Raw genomic sequence first — 15362 nt, 5'->3', positions numbered from 1 at the left:
CAAGCAATTCTCCTGCCTCAGCCTCCTGAGTAGCTGGAACTACAGGACCCTGCCACCAAACCTGGCTAATTTTTGTATTTTTACTAGAGACAAGGGTTTCACCATGTTGGGCAGGCTGGTCTTGAAGTCCTGACCTCAGATGATCCACCCGCCTTGGCCTCCCAAAGTGCTGGGATGACAGGCATGAACTTCTGACCTCAGGTGATCCACCCGCCTCAGCCTCCCAAAGTGCTGGGATGACAGGCGTGAGCCACCGCGCCCGGCCTGTGGTTATTATTTTTAAACTCAAGGCACAGAGGTGCAGAGACAGAAGGCAGGAAGGGACTTCAGTGATCTTCTAGAATCTTCTCCATCACACCTAAAGCAGGAAACAGAGGCCCAGGAGGAAGACATGGCCGCCAGCTCTACACCCCACCCTCCGATGTCCTGGGCCATTTGCGCATCTGGGGAATCCATCTGTGAGATTTCTCCACTGTCTTCCCCAGTCTAACTCCTTCTGATATTCTCTTTTGTCCAGCTGGGGTGATGATGGTCCCTCAGAGGAAAACCAGAGATGGATTCGAAGAACATTTCGGCCTGAACTACCTAGGGCACTTCCTGCTGACCAACCTTCTCTTGGATACGCTGAAAGAGTCTGGGTCCCCTGGCCACAGTGCGAGGGTGGTCACCGTCTCCTCTGCCACCCATTACGTCGCTGAGCTGAACATGGATGACCTTCAGAGCAGGTAGGTGCACCCTGTGAATAATCATAACAGCATCTCAGGTGGGTTAAAGGTTATTCATCTCCCTCTGTCTGTGCGGTGTGGCGCTCCCTGCATCTGCTGGACGCTGGTGCTCTGGGAACAGTGCTCCCTGCGTCTGCCGAGCACTGGTGCTTTGGGGACAGTGCTCCCTGCATCTGCCGGACACTGGTGCTCTGGGGACAGTGCTCCCTGCATCTGCCGAGCACTGGTGCTCTGGGGACAGTGCTCCCTGCGTCTGCCGAGCACTGGTGCTCTGGGAACAGTGCTTCCTGCGTCTGCCGAGCACTGGTGCTCTGGGAACAGTGCTCCCTGCATCTGCTGTACACTGGTGCTCTGGGGACAGTGCTCCCTGCATCTGCCGAGCACTGGTGCTCTGGGGACAGTGCTCCCTGTGTCTGCCGAGCATTGGTGCTCTGGGGACGGTGCTCCCTGTGTCTGCTGTACACCGGTGCTCTGAGGACAGTGCTCCCTGCGTCTGCTGGACACCGGTGCTCTGGGGACAGTGCTCCCTGCGTCTGCCAAGCACTGGTGCTCTGGGGACAGTGCTCCCTGCATCTGCTGTACACTGGTGCTCTGGGTACAGTGCTCCCTGTGTCTGCCGTACACTGGTGCTCTGGGTACAGTGCTCCCTGCGTCTGCCGAGCACTGGTGCTCTGGGGACAGTGCTCCCTGCGTCTGCTGTACACTGGTGCTCTGGGAACAGTGCTTCCTGCGTCTGCCGAGCACTGGTGCTCTGGGAACAGTGCTCCCTGCATCTGCTGTACACTGGTGCTCTGGGGACAGTGCTCCCTGCATCTGCCGAGCACTGGTGCTCTGGGGACAGTGCTCCCTGTGTCCGCCGAGCATTGGTGCTCTGGGGACGGTGCTCCCTGTGTCTGCTGTACACTGGTGCTCTGAGGACAGTGCTCCCTGCGTCTGCTGGACACCGGTGCTCTGGGGACAGTGCTCCCTGCGTCTGCCAAGCACTGGTGCTCTGGGGACAATGCTCCCTGCATCTGCTATACACTGGTGCTCTGGGGACAGTGCTCCCTGCGTCTGCCGAGCACTGGTGCTCTGGGTACAGTGCTCCCTGCGTCTGCTGTACACTGGTGCTCTGGGTACAGTGCTCCCTGCGTCTGCTGTACACTGGTGCTCTGGGGACAGTGCTCCCTGCATCTGCTGAGCACTGGTGCTCTGGGGACAGTGCTCCCTGCATCTGCTGGACACTGGTGCTCTGGGGACAGTGCTCCCTGCTTCTGCTGGACACTGGTGCTCTGGGGACAGTGCTCCCTGCGTCTGCTGGACACTGGTGCTCTGGGGACAGTGCTCCCTGCGTCTGCTGTACACTGGTGCTCTGGGGACAGTGCTCCCTGCGTCTGCTGAGCACTGGTGCTCTGGGGACAGTGCTCCCTGCGTCTGCTGAGCACTGGTGCTCTGGGGACAGTGCTCCCTGCGTCTGCTGAGCACTGGTGCTCTGGGGACAGTGCTCCCTGCGTCTGCTGAGCACTGGTGCTCTGGGGACAGTGCTCCCTGCGTCTGCTGAGCACTGGTGCTCTGGGGACAGTGCTCCCTGCGTCTGCTGGACACTGGTGCTCTGGGGACAGTGCTCCCTGCGTCTGCTGAGCACTGGTGCTCTGGGGACAGTGCTCCCTGCGTCTGCTGGATACTGGTGCTCTGGGGACAGTGCTCCCTGTGTCTGCTGGACACTGGTGCTCTGGGGACAGTGCTCCCTGCGTCTGCTGAGCACTGGTGCTTCCTGCATCTGCTGGGCACAGGTGCTCTGGCTACGGTGCTCCCTGGAGTCTGCTGGGCATGGGTGCTCTGGGCACAGTGCCCCCGCATTTGCTGCACATTGGTGCCCGGCATAGTGCTCCCTGCATCTGCTGGGCATGGGTGCTCTGAGAACGGTGCTCCTTGCATCTCCTGAGCATTGTGCTCTGGGCACGGTGCTCCCTGTGTCTGCTGAGCACAGGTGCTCTGGGCACGGTACTCCCTGTGTCTGCTGGGCACAGGTGTTCTGGGCACACTGCTCTCTGTGTCTACTGGGCGCACGTGCCCTGGAAATGGTGCTCCCTGGATCTGCTGGGCACAGATGTTCTGGGCACGATGCTCCCTGCATCTGCTGGGCATGGTCCTCTGGGAACAGTGCTCCCTGCATCTGGTGGGCACTGGTGCTCTGGGCATTGTGCTCTCTGCGTCTGCTGAGCACAGGTGCTCTGGGCACAGTGCTCCCTGAGTCTGCTGGACACAGGTGCTCTGGGCACGGTGCTCTCTGCGTCTGCTGAGCACAGGTGCTCTGGGCACAGTGCTCCCTGAGTCTGCTGGACACAGGTGCTCTGGGCATGGTGCTCCCTGCATCTGCTGGGTAGAGGTGCTCTGGGCACAGTGCTCCCTGAGTCTGCTGGACACAGGTGCTCTGGGCACGGTGCTCCCTGAGTCTGCTGGGTAGAGGTGCTCTGGGCACGGTGCTCCCTGCTTCTGCTGGGTAGCGGTGCTCTGGGCACACTGCTACCTGTATCTGCTGGGCACATGTGCTCTGGAAATGGTGCTGCCTGCATCTGCCGGGCACAGGTGCTCCTGGCGCTGTGTTGTGGGATATGTACATCCCCAGCCATTTGCTGTCCTTGGGCAACTTAGCAATGTGCGATGGTATTGTTACTTTATTTTTTAGAAGGAACAAGAAACACAGAGGTGAGACATAGAAAAGGAAAACGGATCTATTTAAACCTTCTCTTGTGCCCCCATGGGAATGTCAGGCACTGCATCTGCAGGTGGCATTGGTGTGGACTCCTGTCGACACGCAATGTACTGTCTGTCCATCAGCAGGTCTCTCTTGTGAATTCCTCCTAACCCCGCCTTAAGGATAAAAACGATTCCTCTGTGGGAATAATCATCTTAGTTTGTTTAAGCTGATATAAGAAAAAATCCAGCAGTCCGGGTGTGGTGGCTCACGCCTGTCATCCCAGCACTTTGGGAGGCTGAGGCAGGTAGATCACGAGGTCAGGAGATCGAGACCATCCTGACCAACATGGTGAAACCCCATCTCTATTAAAAATACAAAATTAGCCAGGCGTGGTGGTGGACGCCTGTAATCCCAGCTACTCGGGAGGCTGAGGCAGGAGAATCGCTTGAACCCGGGAGGCGGAGGTTGTGGTGAGCCAAGATCACGCCACTGCACTCCAGCCGGAGTAACAACAGCAAAATTCCGTCTCAAAAAAAAAAAAAAAAAAGAAAGAAAAATTCCATAGTTTGGGTGGCTTATAAATAACACACATTTATGTCTCACGGTTCTGGAGGCTGGAAGTCCAAGATCAAAGTGTGCCAGCGTCTGGCGAGAACCCGCTTCCTGGTTCACACATGGCACCTTCTCACTGTGTCATCAAGCAGTGGAAGGGGCAAGGGAGCTCTCTGGGGTCCCCTTTATAAAGGCACTGATTCCATACTTGAGTCTCCCCCATCGTGACCTCATCACCTCCCAAGGGCCTCACCTCCTAACACCATCTCACGGGGGATGAGGATTTCCATGTAGGAATTTGGAGACAGACACAGTCAGAGCACACAGTCGGACTCGCCTTTGAATTTCTCTGCAGCCCTAAGATCACAAAGCGTTAATGCCACACTCGGAAAGAACTGGCTGCTTGGCTGTGCCAGCATCAGACTTTGGGGCCAGCCTCTGTAATGTACAGCAGGGTGGGCGCCCTCCCCACCCCCAGGCCCTGGAGTACCCTCAGGACTACGAGGAGGGTGAGCCCAGGGGCACAGGCCCTGCCAGCTCCTAACAGTTTGCATTTCCCTGCACAGCGAGGGGCAGGATGTAACGAAGGGAGGGCCGTGGGGGCCTCCTAGGATACCTTGGCCCATCTGTTTTGTCGAATTGAGCTCCTGTGTCTGTGAGCCTCTCTGCTCTGAAGGGTGTGGGATGAGGGAGTCGGCCTCGATGGGATCCTGCATGAAGTGTGAACCCTGCCGGTTGTGGGAGGGAAGGAGCGAGGCTGGCCAGGACTTCATCTTCTCCGGGCAGCTGAAGAAGCACCGGGCTGTGCAGGGAAGGGCGGGTGAGAGGAATGCAGGGAGAGCAGGGCCTGTGGCCGGGAGGGGCTGCTTCTCCTTCATGGTGCCCTGAGGAAGCAAGGGCATGTGTGCGTGCCTGTGTGTACAGCTGAGATGTGTGTGCCAATGTGCACAGGTGAGGTGTGTACCAGTATGCACAGGTGAGGTGCATGCGTGCCCATATGCACAGGTGAGTTGTGTGTACCTGTGGGCACAGATGAGGTCTTTGTGCCCGTGGGCACACATGAGATGTGCATGCCTGTGTACACAGGTGAGGTGCGTGCCAGTGTGCACAGATAAGGTGCGTGAGTGCTCGTGTGCACAGGTGAGTCATGTGCGTGCCAGTGTGCGCAGGTGACGTGTGTATGCTGGCTGGGGCATTTCCTGTTTTCACACCCATGCATGACAGCACCCAGAGGAAGACATGCGTGTTTCTCAGGCTTCTTCTCAGCTCAGGGCTCACTGCAGGATTGTGTAGGCCTCCTGCCTCGGGCTCCATGCTGAAGGGTTTGCCTGGACCCACTGGCAAGAACAGCCCTGCCATGACTGGCTTCCCTAACTCCAGGCCTGAGGCTGGGCTGGGTGTGTGGGGGCCAGCCTTCCCTGATGCCCACTCGGGGCTCCACACACGGAGCCTGCTGTATGAGAGGGCCTGGGAGAAGGGAGGAGGGAACGAGGAGTCTTGGCACAGCCAGCAGCACTTGCTGCAGACACGACTCACTGAGCAAGGCAAGGCATGGGTTGGGGAACCTGGGGAATGTGAGCTGCTTGGCAGGCATTACCGCTCGCCAAAGACACACAGGAACACCCCTTCCTCGTACAGCACTGGTGGAGGGCCGCCTGTCTGTTATTCTGAGAGCTCACTTTGGGGTTGATACTGTTGATCAAAGCAATCTCTGTTGTATTTACTCATTTTTTTTTTCAGATGGAGTCTCACTCTGTCTCCCAGGCTGGAGTGCAGTGGTGTGATCTCGGCTCACTGCAACCTCCGCCTCCCGGGTTCAAGCAATTCTCTTGCCTCGACTCCCAAGCAGCTGGGACTACAGGCACCCGCCACCACGTCCAGTTGATTTTTGTATTTTTAGTAGAGACAGGATTTTGCCACGTTGGCCAGGCTGGTCTCGAACTCCTGACCTCAGGTAATCCTCCCATGTCGGCCTCCCAAAGTGCGTGGATTACAGGCATGAGCCACCGTGCCCAGCCACGATCTCTGTTTTGAATAATGAAGATAAGCAGATCACATCCAGAACAACCCCACCCAACAGAAATGACAGCTACTTCCTAGAGACTTTAGGTGCTACAGAGCAGATTCATGCGCTTAATAAGAATTGAGCCTCATTATCACCTAAGAAAGCTGAGGAAGCATATATTACCAAGTGCAATTAACAAGAGAGTTTTTATTCCTATAAAAACACATATTAAAGAAAGGCTTTGACGGTATTGCTTATATGCCATTAACTATTATTTTATTTTATTTTTTGAAAGAGACAAATGTCACTCTGTTGCCCAGGCTGGAGTGCAGTGGTGCTATCTTGGCTCACGGCAACCTCCGCCTCCCGGGTTCCAATGATTCTCCCACCTCAGCCTCCCGAGTAGCTGGGATTACAGGCATGCACCACCACACCCAGCTAATTTTTGTATTTTTAGTAGAAACAGGGCTTCACCATGTTGGCCAGGCTGTAATCAAACTCCTGACCTCAAGTGATCTGCCTGCCTTGACCTCACAAAGTGCTGGGATTACAGGCATGAGCCACCACACCCGACCACCATTAACTCTTATCTGAAGAGTTATGTCCACATCCTAACTCCAAATATGTATAATTGAGACCTAATTTAGAAATAGGTCTTTGCAGATGGAATTAAGTGAAGATGAGATGATTAGGGTAGACCCTTGATCCAATATGATGGGTGGCCTTACAAGAAGTAGAAAATACCTGGGCACACTGGCTCATGCCTGTCATCCCAGCACTTTGGGAGGCCAAGGTGAGCAGATCACCTGAGGTCAGGAGTTCAAGACCAGCCTGACCAATATGATGAAACCCTGTCTCTACTAAAAATACAAAAAATTAGCCGGGCGTGGTGCTGCGCGTCTGTAATCCCAGGTACTCGGGAGGCTGAGGCAGGAGAATTCCTTGAACCTGGGAGGTGGAGGTTGCAGTGAGCTGAGATCGTGCCATTGCACTCCAGCCTGGGCAACAAGAGCGAAACTCTGTCTCAAAAAAAAAAAAAAAATGAAGTAGAAAATTTGGAGACAGAGAGACACAGAGAAGGCCACATGGAGATGGAGATGGAGGTGGAGACTGGAGTGATGCGGCCACACACCCAGGGATGCCTGGAGCCCCCAGGAGCTGGGAGAGGCAGGAAGGACCCTCCCCTCCACCCTCACAGATACCCCAGAGTAACATTCAATCAAACATCTAGGTGCCCCATGATCCAGTCAGGTTAACACATAATATTAACTATTCCGACCCCACTCTACATATAAGAAGGGCCCTAAATGGAATGACAGGTGTTCTTGGAAAGAGACAGAAGAGGAGACACAGACACAGAGGAGAAGGCCACGTGGAGATGGAGGCAGAGACTGGAGTGATGCAGCCACAGGGTCAGGGATGCCCGGAGCCCCCAGGAGCTGGGAGAGGCAGGAAGGGCCCTCCCCTAGAGCCTCTGGAGGGAACTGGATACAATTGTAGTGGATTGAATGGTGGTTCACAGAAAGATCTGTCCACATCCCGAAGCCCAGAACCTAGAATGAGACTTTATTTGAAAATAAAGAACTTTGCCGGTGTAATTAGTTAGAGATCTAGAGATGAGATCATCCTGGAGTAGGGTAGGTCCTAAATCCACTGACCGGTATCCTTCTAAAAGACAGAAGAGGAGACACAGACACAGAGGAGAAGTCCACGTGGAGACGGAGGCAGAGACTGGAGTGATCTGACCACGGGGTCAGGGACTCCCCGAGCCCCCAGAAGCTGGGAAAGGCAGGAAGGGTTCCTGCCCTAGAAGACCGTCCAGAGAGAGCACGACCCTGTCCACTCCTGAATTTCAGACTTCTGGTCTCCAGAAGGTATCACTTCACTGGATGAATTTCTGTGACTTTGAAGCATCCAGTCTGTGCTCATTTGTTTGGACAATCCCAGGAAAGTAATACAGATTGCAAAGCAGATCAAGGAACTTCAAAGTCAAAGGGCTTGAGAGCCAGAGCCAGCTCAGAGCCGGCTCTAACATTTTTTGTTTATTTATTTGTATTGTATTGTTTTTATTTTAATTTATTGTATATATCTATATCTATATATATATCTATATATCTATATATATATCTATATATATCTATATCTATCTATATATCTATATCTATATATATCTATATCTATCTATATATCTATATCTATATCTATATATCTATCTATATATTTTTTTTTTGAGACAGAGTCTTGCTCTGTCGCCCAGGCTGCAATGCAGTGGTGCGATCTCGGCTCACTGCAACCTCTACCTCCTGGGTTCAAGCGATTCTCCTGCCTCAGCCTCCTGAGTAGCTGGGATTACAGGCATGCGCCATCACGCCCAGATAATTTTTATATTTTTAGTAGAGACGGGGGTTCACCATGTTGGCCAGGATGATCTCCATCTCCTGACCTCGTGATCCTCTCGCCTCGGCCTCCCAAAGTGCTGGGATTACAGGCGTGAGCCACTGCGCCCGGCCACTTCCCCCTATTTTTTCGAGACTTACAATTCAACTTACACTGCTTTTCTTTTCCTGTTCTCCTCTTTTGCTTCACCAGTTTGATTATGTAAAATGAATATTGATGACAGGCATTCACCTGAGCCATGTTTCATTTCTCCATGATTCCTCTGCAGGGGATAATGAGAGAGTGTTAACAGATGCCTCCTCTGAGCTTTCTGGAAACTGTTCTTCGTTGACGGCACTGACTCTTTCCAAATAGGCCCCTTTTTCATCGTTCATAGCTTAGGAGTGATCTCTTAAAGGAGAGAACATTGCTTTGCTGGGGCTGCCATAATAAAATACCACGGACCTAGTGGCTTAAACAGCAGACATTGAGCCTCCCACAGTCCTGGAGGCTGGAGGTCCCAGATCAAGGTGTGGGTGTGGCTGACTCCTCCTGAGGCCTCTCTCCTTGGGTTGTAGACACCGTCTTCTCCCTGTGTCCTCACAGGATCATCCCTCTGTGTGTGTCTGTGTCCTCATCTCCTCCTCTTATGAGGTGTCTTAGCCCATTTCAGGCTGCTATCACAGAATACCATAGACTGGGTAGATTATAAACAACAGACATTATTCTCTCACAGTCCTGGACGCTAGAAGTTTGAGATCCAGGTATGGGCAGGGCTGGTTCCTCCTGAGGCCTCTCTGCTGGACTTGTAGACGCCATCTTCTCTCTGTGTCCTCACAGGGTCGTCCCTTTGTGTGTGTGTGTGTCCTCATCTCCTCTTCTTATGCAATGCCTTACTCCATCTCAGGCTGCTATCACAGAATACCATAGACTGTGTAGCTTATAACAGCAGACATTGATTCTCCCACAGTCCTGGAGGCTGGAGGTCTGAGATCAAGGTGTGAGCAGGGCTGGTTCCTCCTCAGGCCTCTCTCCTGGGCTTGGAGATGTCATCATCGCCCTGTGTCCTCACTTGGTTGTCCCTCTGTGTGTGTCTGTGTCCTCATCTCCTCTTCTTATAAGGACCTCAGTCCTATTGGATCAGTACCTACCCTAGTGACCTCATTTTACCTGAATCGCATCTTTAAAGACCCCATCTCCGGCCGGGCATGGTGGCTCATGCCTGTAATCCCAGCACTTTGGGAGGCTGAGGCAGGTGGATCACCTGAGGTCAGGAGTTCAAGACCAGCCTGGACAACACGGTGAAACCCCGTCTCTACTTAAAAAATACAAAATTAGCCAAGCGCCATGGCAGGTGCCTATAACCCCAGCTACTGGGGAGGCTGAGGCAGGAGAATCGCTTGAACCCGGGAGGCGGAGGTTGCAGTGAGCCAAGATTGCACCATTGCACTCCAGCCTTGGTGACAAGACCGAAACTCTGTCTCAAAAAATAAATAAAATAAAAGGACCCTATCTCCAAATAAGGTCATCTTTCTGAGTTCCTCAGAGTTAGAACTTCATAGGAATCTGGGGAGACGTAATTCAGTCCATGAGATACGCCCAGGTCCCCTTGGTAGAATAGAACACGCCTCAGCCGGCGTCTTCTGTATTACTGTAGGAGCCCCTAGATGACCAGATGGTGGTAGGACAGCCAGGTATTCCCAGTCAGGTGCAGTTGCCTGGATGTGTGTTCCCCGAATTATTGTGCATTGGGCCATCTGGCCGACGAACTTCAGCTTCCGTGGTTAGCTCCGTCTCCATCTCCCTGATTTTTCTGTTCTTGTGTCATCCCTGCGTCACATATGACTGAAGTTCAGTAAATATATGGTGAGTGGGCCGGGCATGGTGGCTCACGCCTGTCATCCCAGCACTTCGGGAGGCCGAGGCAGGTGGATCACAAGGTCAGGAGTTCAAGACCAGCCTGGCCAACATGGAGAAACCCCATCTCTACTAAAAATACAAAAATTAGCTGGGCGTGGGGGTGCACACCTGTAATCCCTGCTACTCGGAAGGCTGAGGCAGGATAATTGCTTCAACTGGGACTCGAAAGGCAGAGGTTGCAGTGAGCCAAGATCGCACCACTGCACTCCAGCCTGGGCTGCAAAGCAAGATTCTGTCTTAAAAAAGAAAAAGAAAAAAGAAATGAAGATGCTCCCATTCTCAGACCATCCTCCAGATCTCCTAAACCCGAAGTTTGGAGAACAGGGGTTGGCAAGGAGAAGGTCTTTGGGGGAATTCTGATGCATGCTAAAATATGAGAACCACTTGAATTTAAAATATACTGCTTTTTTTTTTTGGATGAAAGATGTGGTTCTTGGCTTTTGCCTGATATAATCATTGCCAGTAATTAGTGTTAATTGCCAAGATTGATTTACTGGCTTGGAAAATTAGCGTTCTTGTAAAGGAATAAATCACAGTGTTGTAACATATTCCAAAAATCCAAGAGTTTTTACACATGAGAGAACATGTCTCCTCAACTTGGCTGTACCGAATCATCCCCATGGTGAAATAAATTTCAATAGAAAGCACTTTGGGAGGCCGAGGCGGGCGTATCACCTGAGGTCAGGAGTTCGAGACCAGCCTGGTCAACATGGGGAAACCCCGTCTCTACTAAAAATGCAAAAGTTAGCCAGGCATGGTGGCATGTGCCTGTAATCTCAGCTGCTTTGGAGGCTGAAGCAGGAGAATTGTTTGAACCCGGGAGGTGGAGGTTGCAGTGGGCCAAGATCATGCTACTGCACTCCAGCCCAGCTTGCACTCCAGAGCAAGACTCCCTCTCAAAAAAAGAAAAAAAAGGGCAGGCACAGTGGCTTAAGTCTGTCATCCCAGCACTTTGGGAGGCTGAGAGGGGTGGATCGCAAGGTCAGGAGATCAAGACCATCCTGGCCAACATGGTGAAACCCCGTCTCTACTAAAATATAAAAAATTAGCCAGGCATGGTGGCATGTCCCTGTAGTCCCAGCTACTGGGGAGGCTGAGGCAGGAGAATTGCTTGAACCGGGGAGGTGGAGGTTGCAATGAGCCAAGATCGCACCACTGCACTCCAGCCTGGAGAGAAAAAAAAAAAAAAAAGAGGGACACATACCTTCCAAAATCATTTTCTATTCTTTAAGATTTCTTTCCTGTGAGACCCTTAAATTTGTTTTGTTTTATTTTATTTTATTTGAGACAGAGTTTCGCTTTTGTCACCCAGGCATCGAGGCTGGAGTGCAGTGGCGCAATCTCAGCTCACTACAACCTCTGCCTCGTGGGTTCAAGTGATTCTCCTGTCTCAGCCTCCCGGGTAGCTGGGACTACAGGCACCGCCACCATGCCCACCTAATTTTTGTGTTTTTTTTTTGTAGAGCTGGGTTTTCACCATGTTGGTCAGGCTGGTCTCGAACTCCTGACCTCGAATGATCTGCCCACTTCGACTTCCCAATGTGCTGGGATTACAGGTGTGACCCACCGTGCCTGGCCATGATAGATTCTCTACCTATTTAAGAAATTCTTTATTTCACTCTGACGTCCCTCAGTCATGGAGTTGTTATAGGCATGGGCGTGCCTCACTGTGAACATGGCTGTCTTGGTTTGAGTTTCTCAACTTATGTAACTTTGGGTGACTTCTTCATTATTTTATTCCTAACCATGAATTCACATCCCGTGAAATCATCCAGTATAGACTAAGTTGTGTAACGTGTTTTGAGTGTGGTATCCCATCTCGATTCGGATTTCACTCAAGGTTTCACATGTTCCCCCTGTGTTCTGAGATATGTCGGACAGCTGACACACTCACTATGTGTCTATGAGCGAAAGTATCAGGGTGTTTGGATGCAGCTGGAATTCACAAGATACCTGCAATGTCCTGTGTTGTTTTGGTTGTTTTCTCTTAGCGGAAAAAGTCAAAGACCTCTCTTTGAGATCGACACCATCCAGGCCAATGTGGTAAAAACCCGTCTCTACTAAAAATACAAAAATTAGCTGGGTGTGGTGACGGGTGACTGTAGTCCCAGCTACTCAGGAGGCTGAGGCAGGAGAATCACTTGAACCCGGGAGGTGGAAGTTGCAGCAAGCCAAGATCATAGCACTGCACTCCAGCCCGGCCTGGGCAACAGAGCAAGACTCCCTCTCAAAAAAAAAAAAAGAAAAAAAAGGGGGGGGGCGTGGGGCAGGCACAGTGGCTCACACCTGTAATCCCACCACTATGGGAGGCCTAGGGGGTGGATCACAAGGTCAGGAGATCAAGACCATCCTGGCCAATGTGGTGAAACCCCACTGTGCTAAAAATACCAAAATTAGCTGAGTGTGGTGGCGGGCACCTGTAGTCCCAGCTACTCGGAAGGCTAAGACAGGAGAATCACTTGAATCCGGGAGGCGGAGATTGCAGTGAGCCGAGATCGCACCACTGCACTCCACCCTAGCAACAGAGCGAGACCCTGTTTCAAAAAAACAAACAAACAAAAAAAACCTCTCTTTATTCGCAGTATTTTCTGAGTTCCTGGTAGGCGGATCGTTATCAAGAATATTAAATGTAGATGATAGTTATCAAGAATATTAAGCGTAGATATCCTAGAAAGAATGTAATGGAGTTGTTTGTACTGCCAAAGGGAAAATTCAATTTAGACATGAAGGATTGTTATAATACTTATAAATATATTGAATGCCACCCATACTTACTCATTAAAACAGTGATTGTCATCAGGTTTAATGAGCACTGGAAAAATAGCTCCAGTCAACTAGGTTATGAGCAGTCGATTGAGTTTCCCTAATTGCATTGGCAATTTGATTATGCAACAATGTCCTGCAATGGAAATACGTTGCAATGCAACGGATTCGTAGGAAGTTAACATAAAAACTCAGTTGTCCTTGCTTCTACACAAGTACCTCTCAAAGTGGATAAATAATCAATGCAAAAACTGCCTGTTGATCCATATAAAAGGACACCGCCTACGGAGACTGGCTGTTGGGAGACCGAGATATGACACGTTTACATCCTACAGTATCCATCACAATAACTTATAAAGGGCTCCTTTCTTTTTGTTTTTTTTTGAGACAGAGTCTTGCTTTGTTGCCCAGGCTGGAGTGCAGGGTGTGATCTCAGCTCACTGCAAGCTCCGCCTTCCGGGTTCACGCCATTCTCCTGCCTCAACCTCCCGAGTAGCTGGGACTACAGGCGTCTGCCACCACACCCGGCTAATTTTTTTGTATTTTTATTAGAGACGGGGTTTCACCCTGTTAGCCAGGATGGTCTCGATATTCTGACCTCGTGATCCGCCCGCCTCGGCCTCCCAAAGTGCTGGGATTACAGGCGTGAGCCACCGCGCCCGGTCTTATAAACACTCAAAAGTATGTTCAGTCTTCACGATTTTTAATAACAAGAAGAGAGTAATGCTTTAATCAGCAAAAAATGGAGAACTCAAATACCCTTTTATAAGGTCCAGATTTAGTAGCAGGTGGCTTTTGTTCAGTTTCTTATTCAACAGGAAAGCTCATTGAATGATTTTTTGTTTCATTTTGTTTTTTGGCAGTCTCCCTGTCTCACCCAGACTGGAGTGCAGTGGCGCCATCTTTGCTGATTGGCTCACGGCCATGTCCGCCTCCCAGGCTGGAGTGTGGTGGCGCCATCTTGGCTCACTGCCATGTCCACCTCCCAGGCTGCAGTGCGGCCGCGACATCTTGGCTCACGGCCATGTCCGCCTCCTAGGCTGGAGTGCCGTGGCGCCATCTTGGCTCACGGCCATGTCCGCCTCCCAGGCTGCAGTGCGGCCACGCCATCTTGGCTCAAGGCCATGTCCACCTCCCAGGCTGCAGTGCCGTGGCGCCATCTTGGCTCACGACCACGTCCGCCTCCTAGGCTGGAGTGCCGTGGCGCCATCTTGGCTCAAGGCCATGTCCGCCTCCCAGGCCGTGCAGTGGCGCCATCTTGGCTCACTGCCATATCTGCCTCCCAGGCCGTGCAGTGACGCTATCTTGGCTTGCTGCCATGTGCGCCTCCCAGGCTCAAATGATCTGCTCCCACCTCAGCCTCACAATTAGCTGGGACTACAGGTGTGCTTTACCACACCCAGGTACTTTTTGTATTTTTTGTAGAGATAAGGTCTTACTATACTCCCCAGTCTGGTCTTGAACTCCTGGGCTCAAGCGACCTGCCTGCCTTAGTGTCCCCTAAGTGCTCAGATTACATGCGCGAGCCACCACTCCCGGCCTAATACCAACGACTTTTGTCAGAGTCCTTAGGGTTTCATTTACAGACCTTAATGGGCATTTCCTCCTACGTATTTGCTTTCATTCTTTCCCATTTCTGGGGTGGATATTTCTTCATCCCTAACCCCCACCCCAGGGAATCTCTCCTGAAACTACGTGCCCCTCTTGGATTCATTTCTTCACCTCCTGTAGAGAAATGTATTGGCTTTTCGCCTGCCCCCACACCGTATTTTTAAACAATCTTAGTTCTCTCTTCTCCACGCTACTGTGTAAAACCATAATTACAGAACCAACCCCTCCATTTACTCTGGAAAAATCTGCCTTTGGATGATGCATTTTCTGCTTTTTCAAGTAACCATTCCTCTTACCCATCAATCAAATGCTGGAGATTCAGAACCGAATGCTTGTAGCTGATATTTAAAAAACGATCATGCCAGCAGGAAAGCCAGTCTTTGCCTCTCTGCACTTAGTAACTATCTGTTTCCTGGACTCTTCTCTTCCCCTGGGGTGAGGAGATTGGAGAAGTTTGCCTTAAAAAGATATCTTGACAGTAATTGGAGGTTTACAGTTTATCTTGGATCAGAGATGGGACTTCAGCTCTGAACTACTCAATTTCCCTGTCTTAATTCTTCCAGTCTCTTAGATTTCTTTTTATTTATTTATTTTTGAGACAGAGTTTTGCTCTTGTCACCCAGGCTGGAGTGCAATGGCGTGGTATCAGCTCACTGCAACCTCTACCTCCCGGGTTCAAGGATTCTCCTGCCTCAGCCTCCCGAGTAGCTGGGATTACAGGCACCTGCCA

General features: G+C 51.5%; 1 protein-coding gene across 1 annotated transcript in view, besides 3 other annotated features; it reads left to right on the top strand.

The window, feature by feature from the left end:
* Nucleotides 1–15362, top strand: part of DHRSX (dehydrogenase/reductase X-linked) — a 281471-nt gene that overhangs the window by 233512 nt on the left and 32597 nt on the right. The window contains exon 5 of the mRNA NM_145177.3: nt 518–725. Within this exon, the coding sequence (NP_660160.2) occupies nt 518–725 (208 nt within the window). The remainder of the gene's footprint in view (nt 1–517; nt 726–15362) is intronic.
* Nucleotides 4026–4860: an enhancer, noted in NCBI's record as "H3K27ac-H3K4me1 hESC enhancer chrX:2180646-2181480 (GRCh37/hg19 assembly coordinates)". NCBI's record gives its function as "activates a minimal SCP1, AML or CMV promoter by ChIP-STARR-seq in primed H9 embryonic stem cells {active_cell/tissue: H9 hESC(primed)}" and the evidence as "EXISTENCE:reporter gene assay evidence [ECO:0000049][PMID:30033119]".
* Nucleotides 13653–14161: an enhancer, noted in NCBI's record as "H3K27ac-H3K4me1 hESC enhancer chrX:2171345-2171853 (GRCh37/hg19 assembly coordinates)". NCBI's record gives its function as "activates a minimal SCP1, AML or CMV promoter by ChIP-STARR-seq in primed H9 embryonic stem cells {active_cell/tissue: H9 hESC(primed)}" and the evidence as "EXISTENCE:reporter gene assay evidence [ECO:0000049][PMID:30033119]".
* Nucleotides 14162–14672: an enhancer, noted in NCBI's record as "H3K27ac-H3K4me1 hESC enhancer chrX:2170834-2171344 (GRCh37/hg19 assembly coordinates)". NCBI's record gives its function as "activates a minimal SCP1, AML or CMV promoter by ChIP-STARR-seq in primed H9 embryonic stem cells {active_cell/tissue: H9 hESC(primed)}" and the evidence as "EXISTENCE:reporter gene assay evidence [ECO:0000049][PMID:30033119]".

Source organism: Homo sapiens, chromosome X, assembly GCF_000001405.40.
Source record: "Homo sapiens chromosome X, GRCh38.p14 Primary Assembly".
In the NCBI taxonomy this organism is placed as follows: Eukaryota; Metazoa; Chordata; class Mammalia; order Primates; family Hominidae; genus Homo; species Homo sapiens.
Note: the sequence above shows the minus strand (reverse complement) of the source record. Positions and strands in the feature narration are given on the sequence as shown.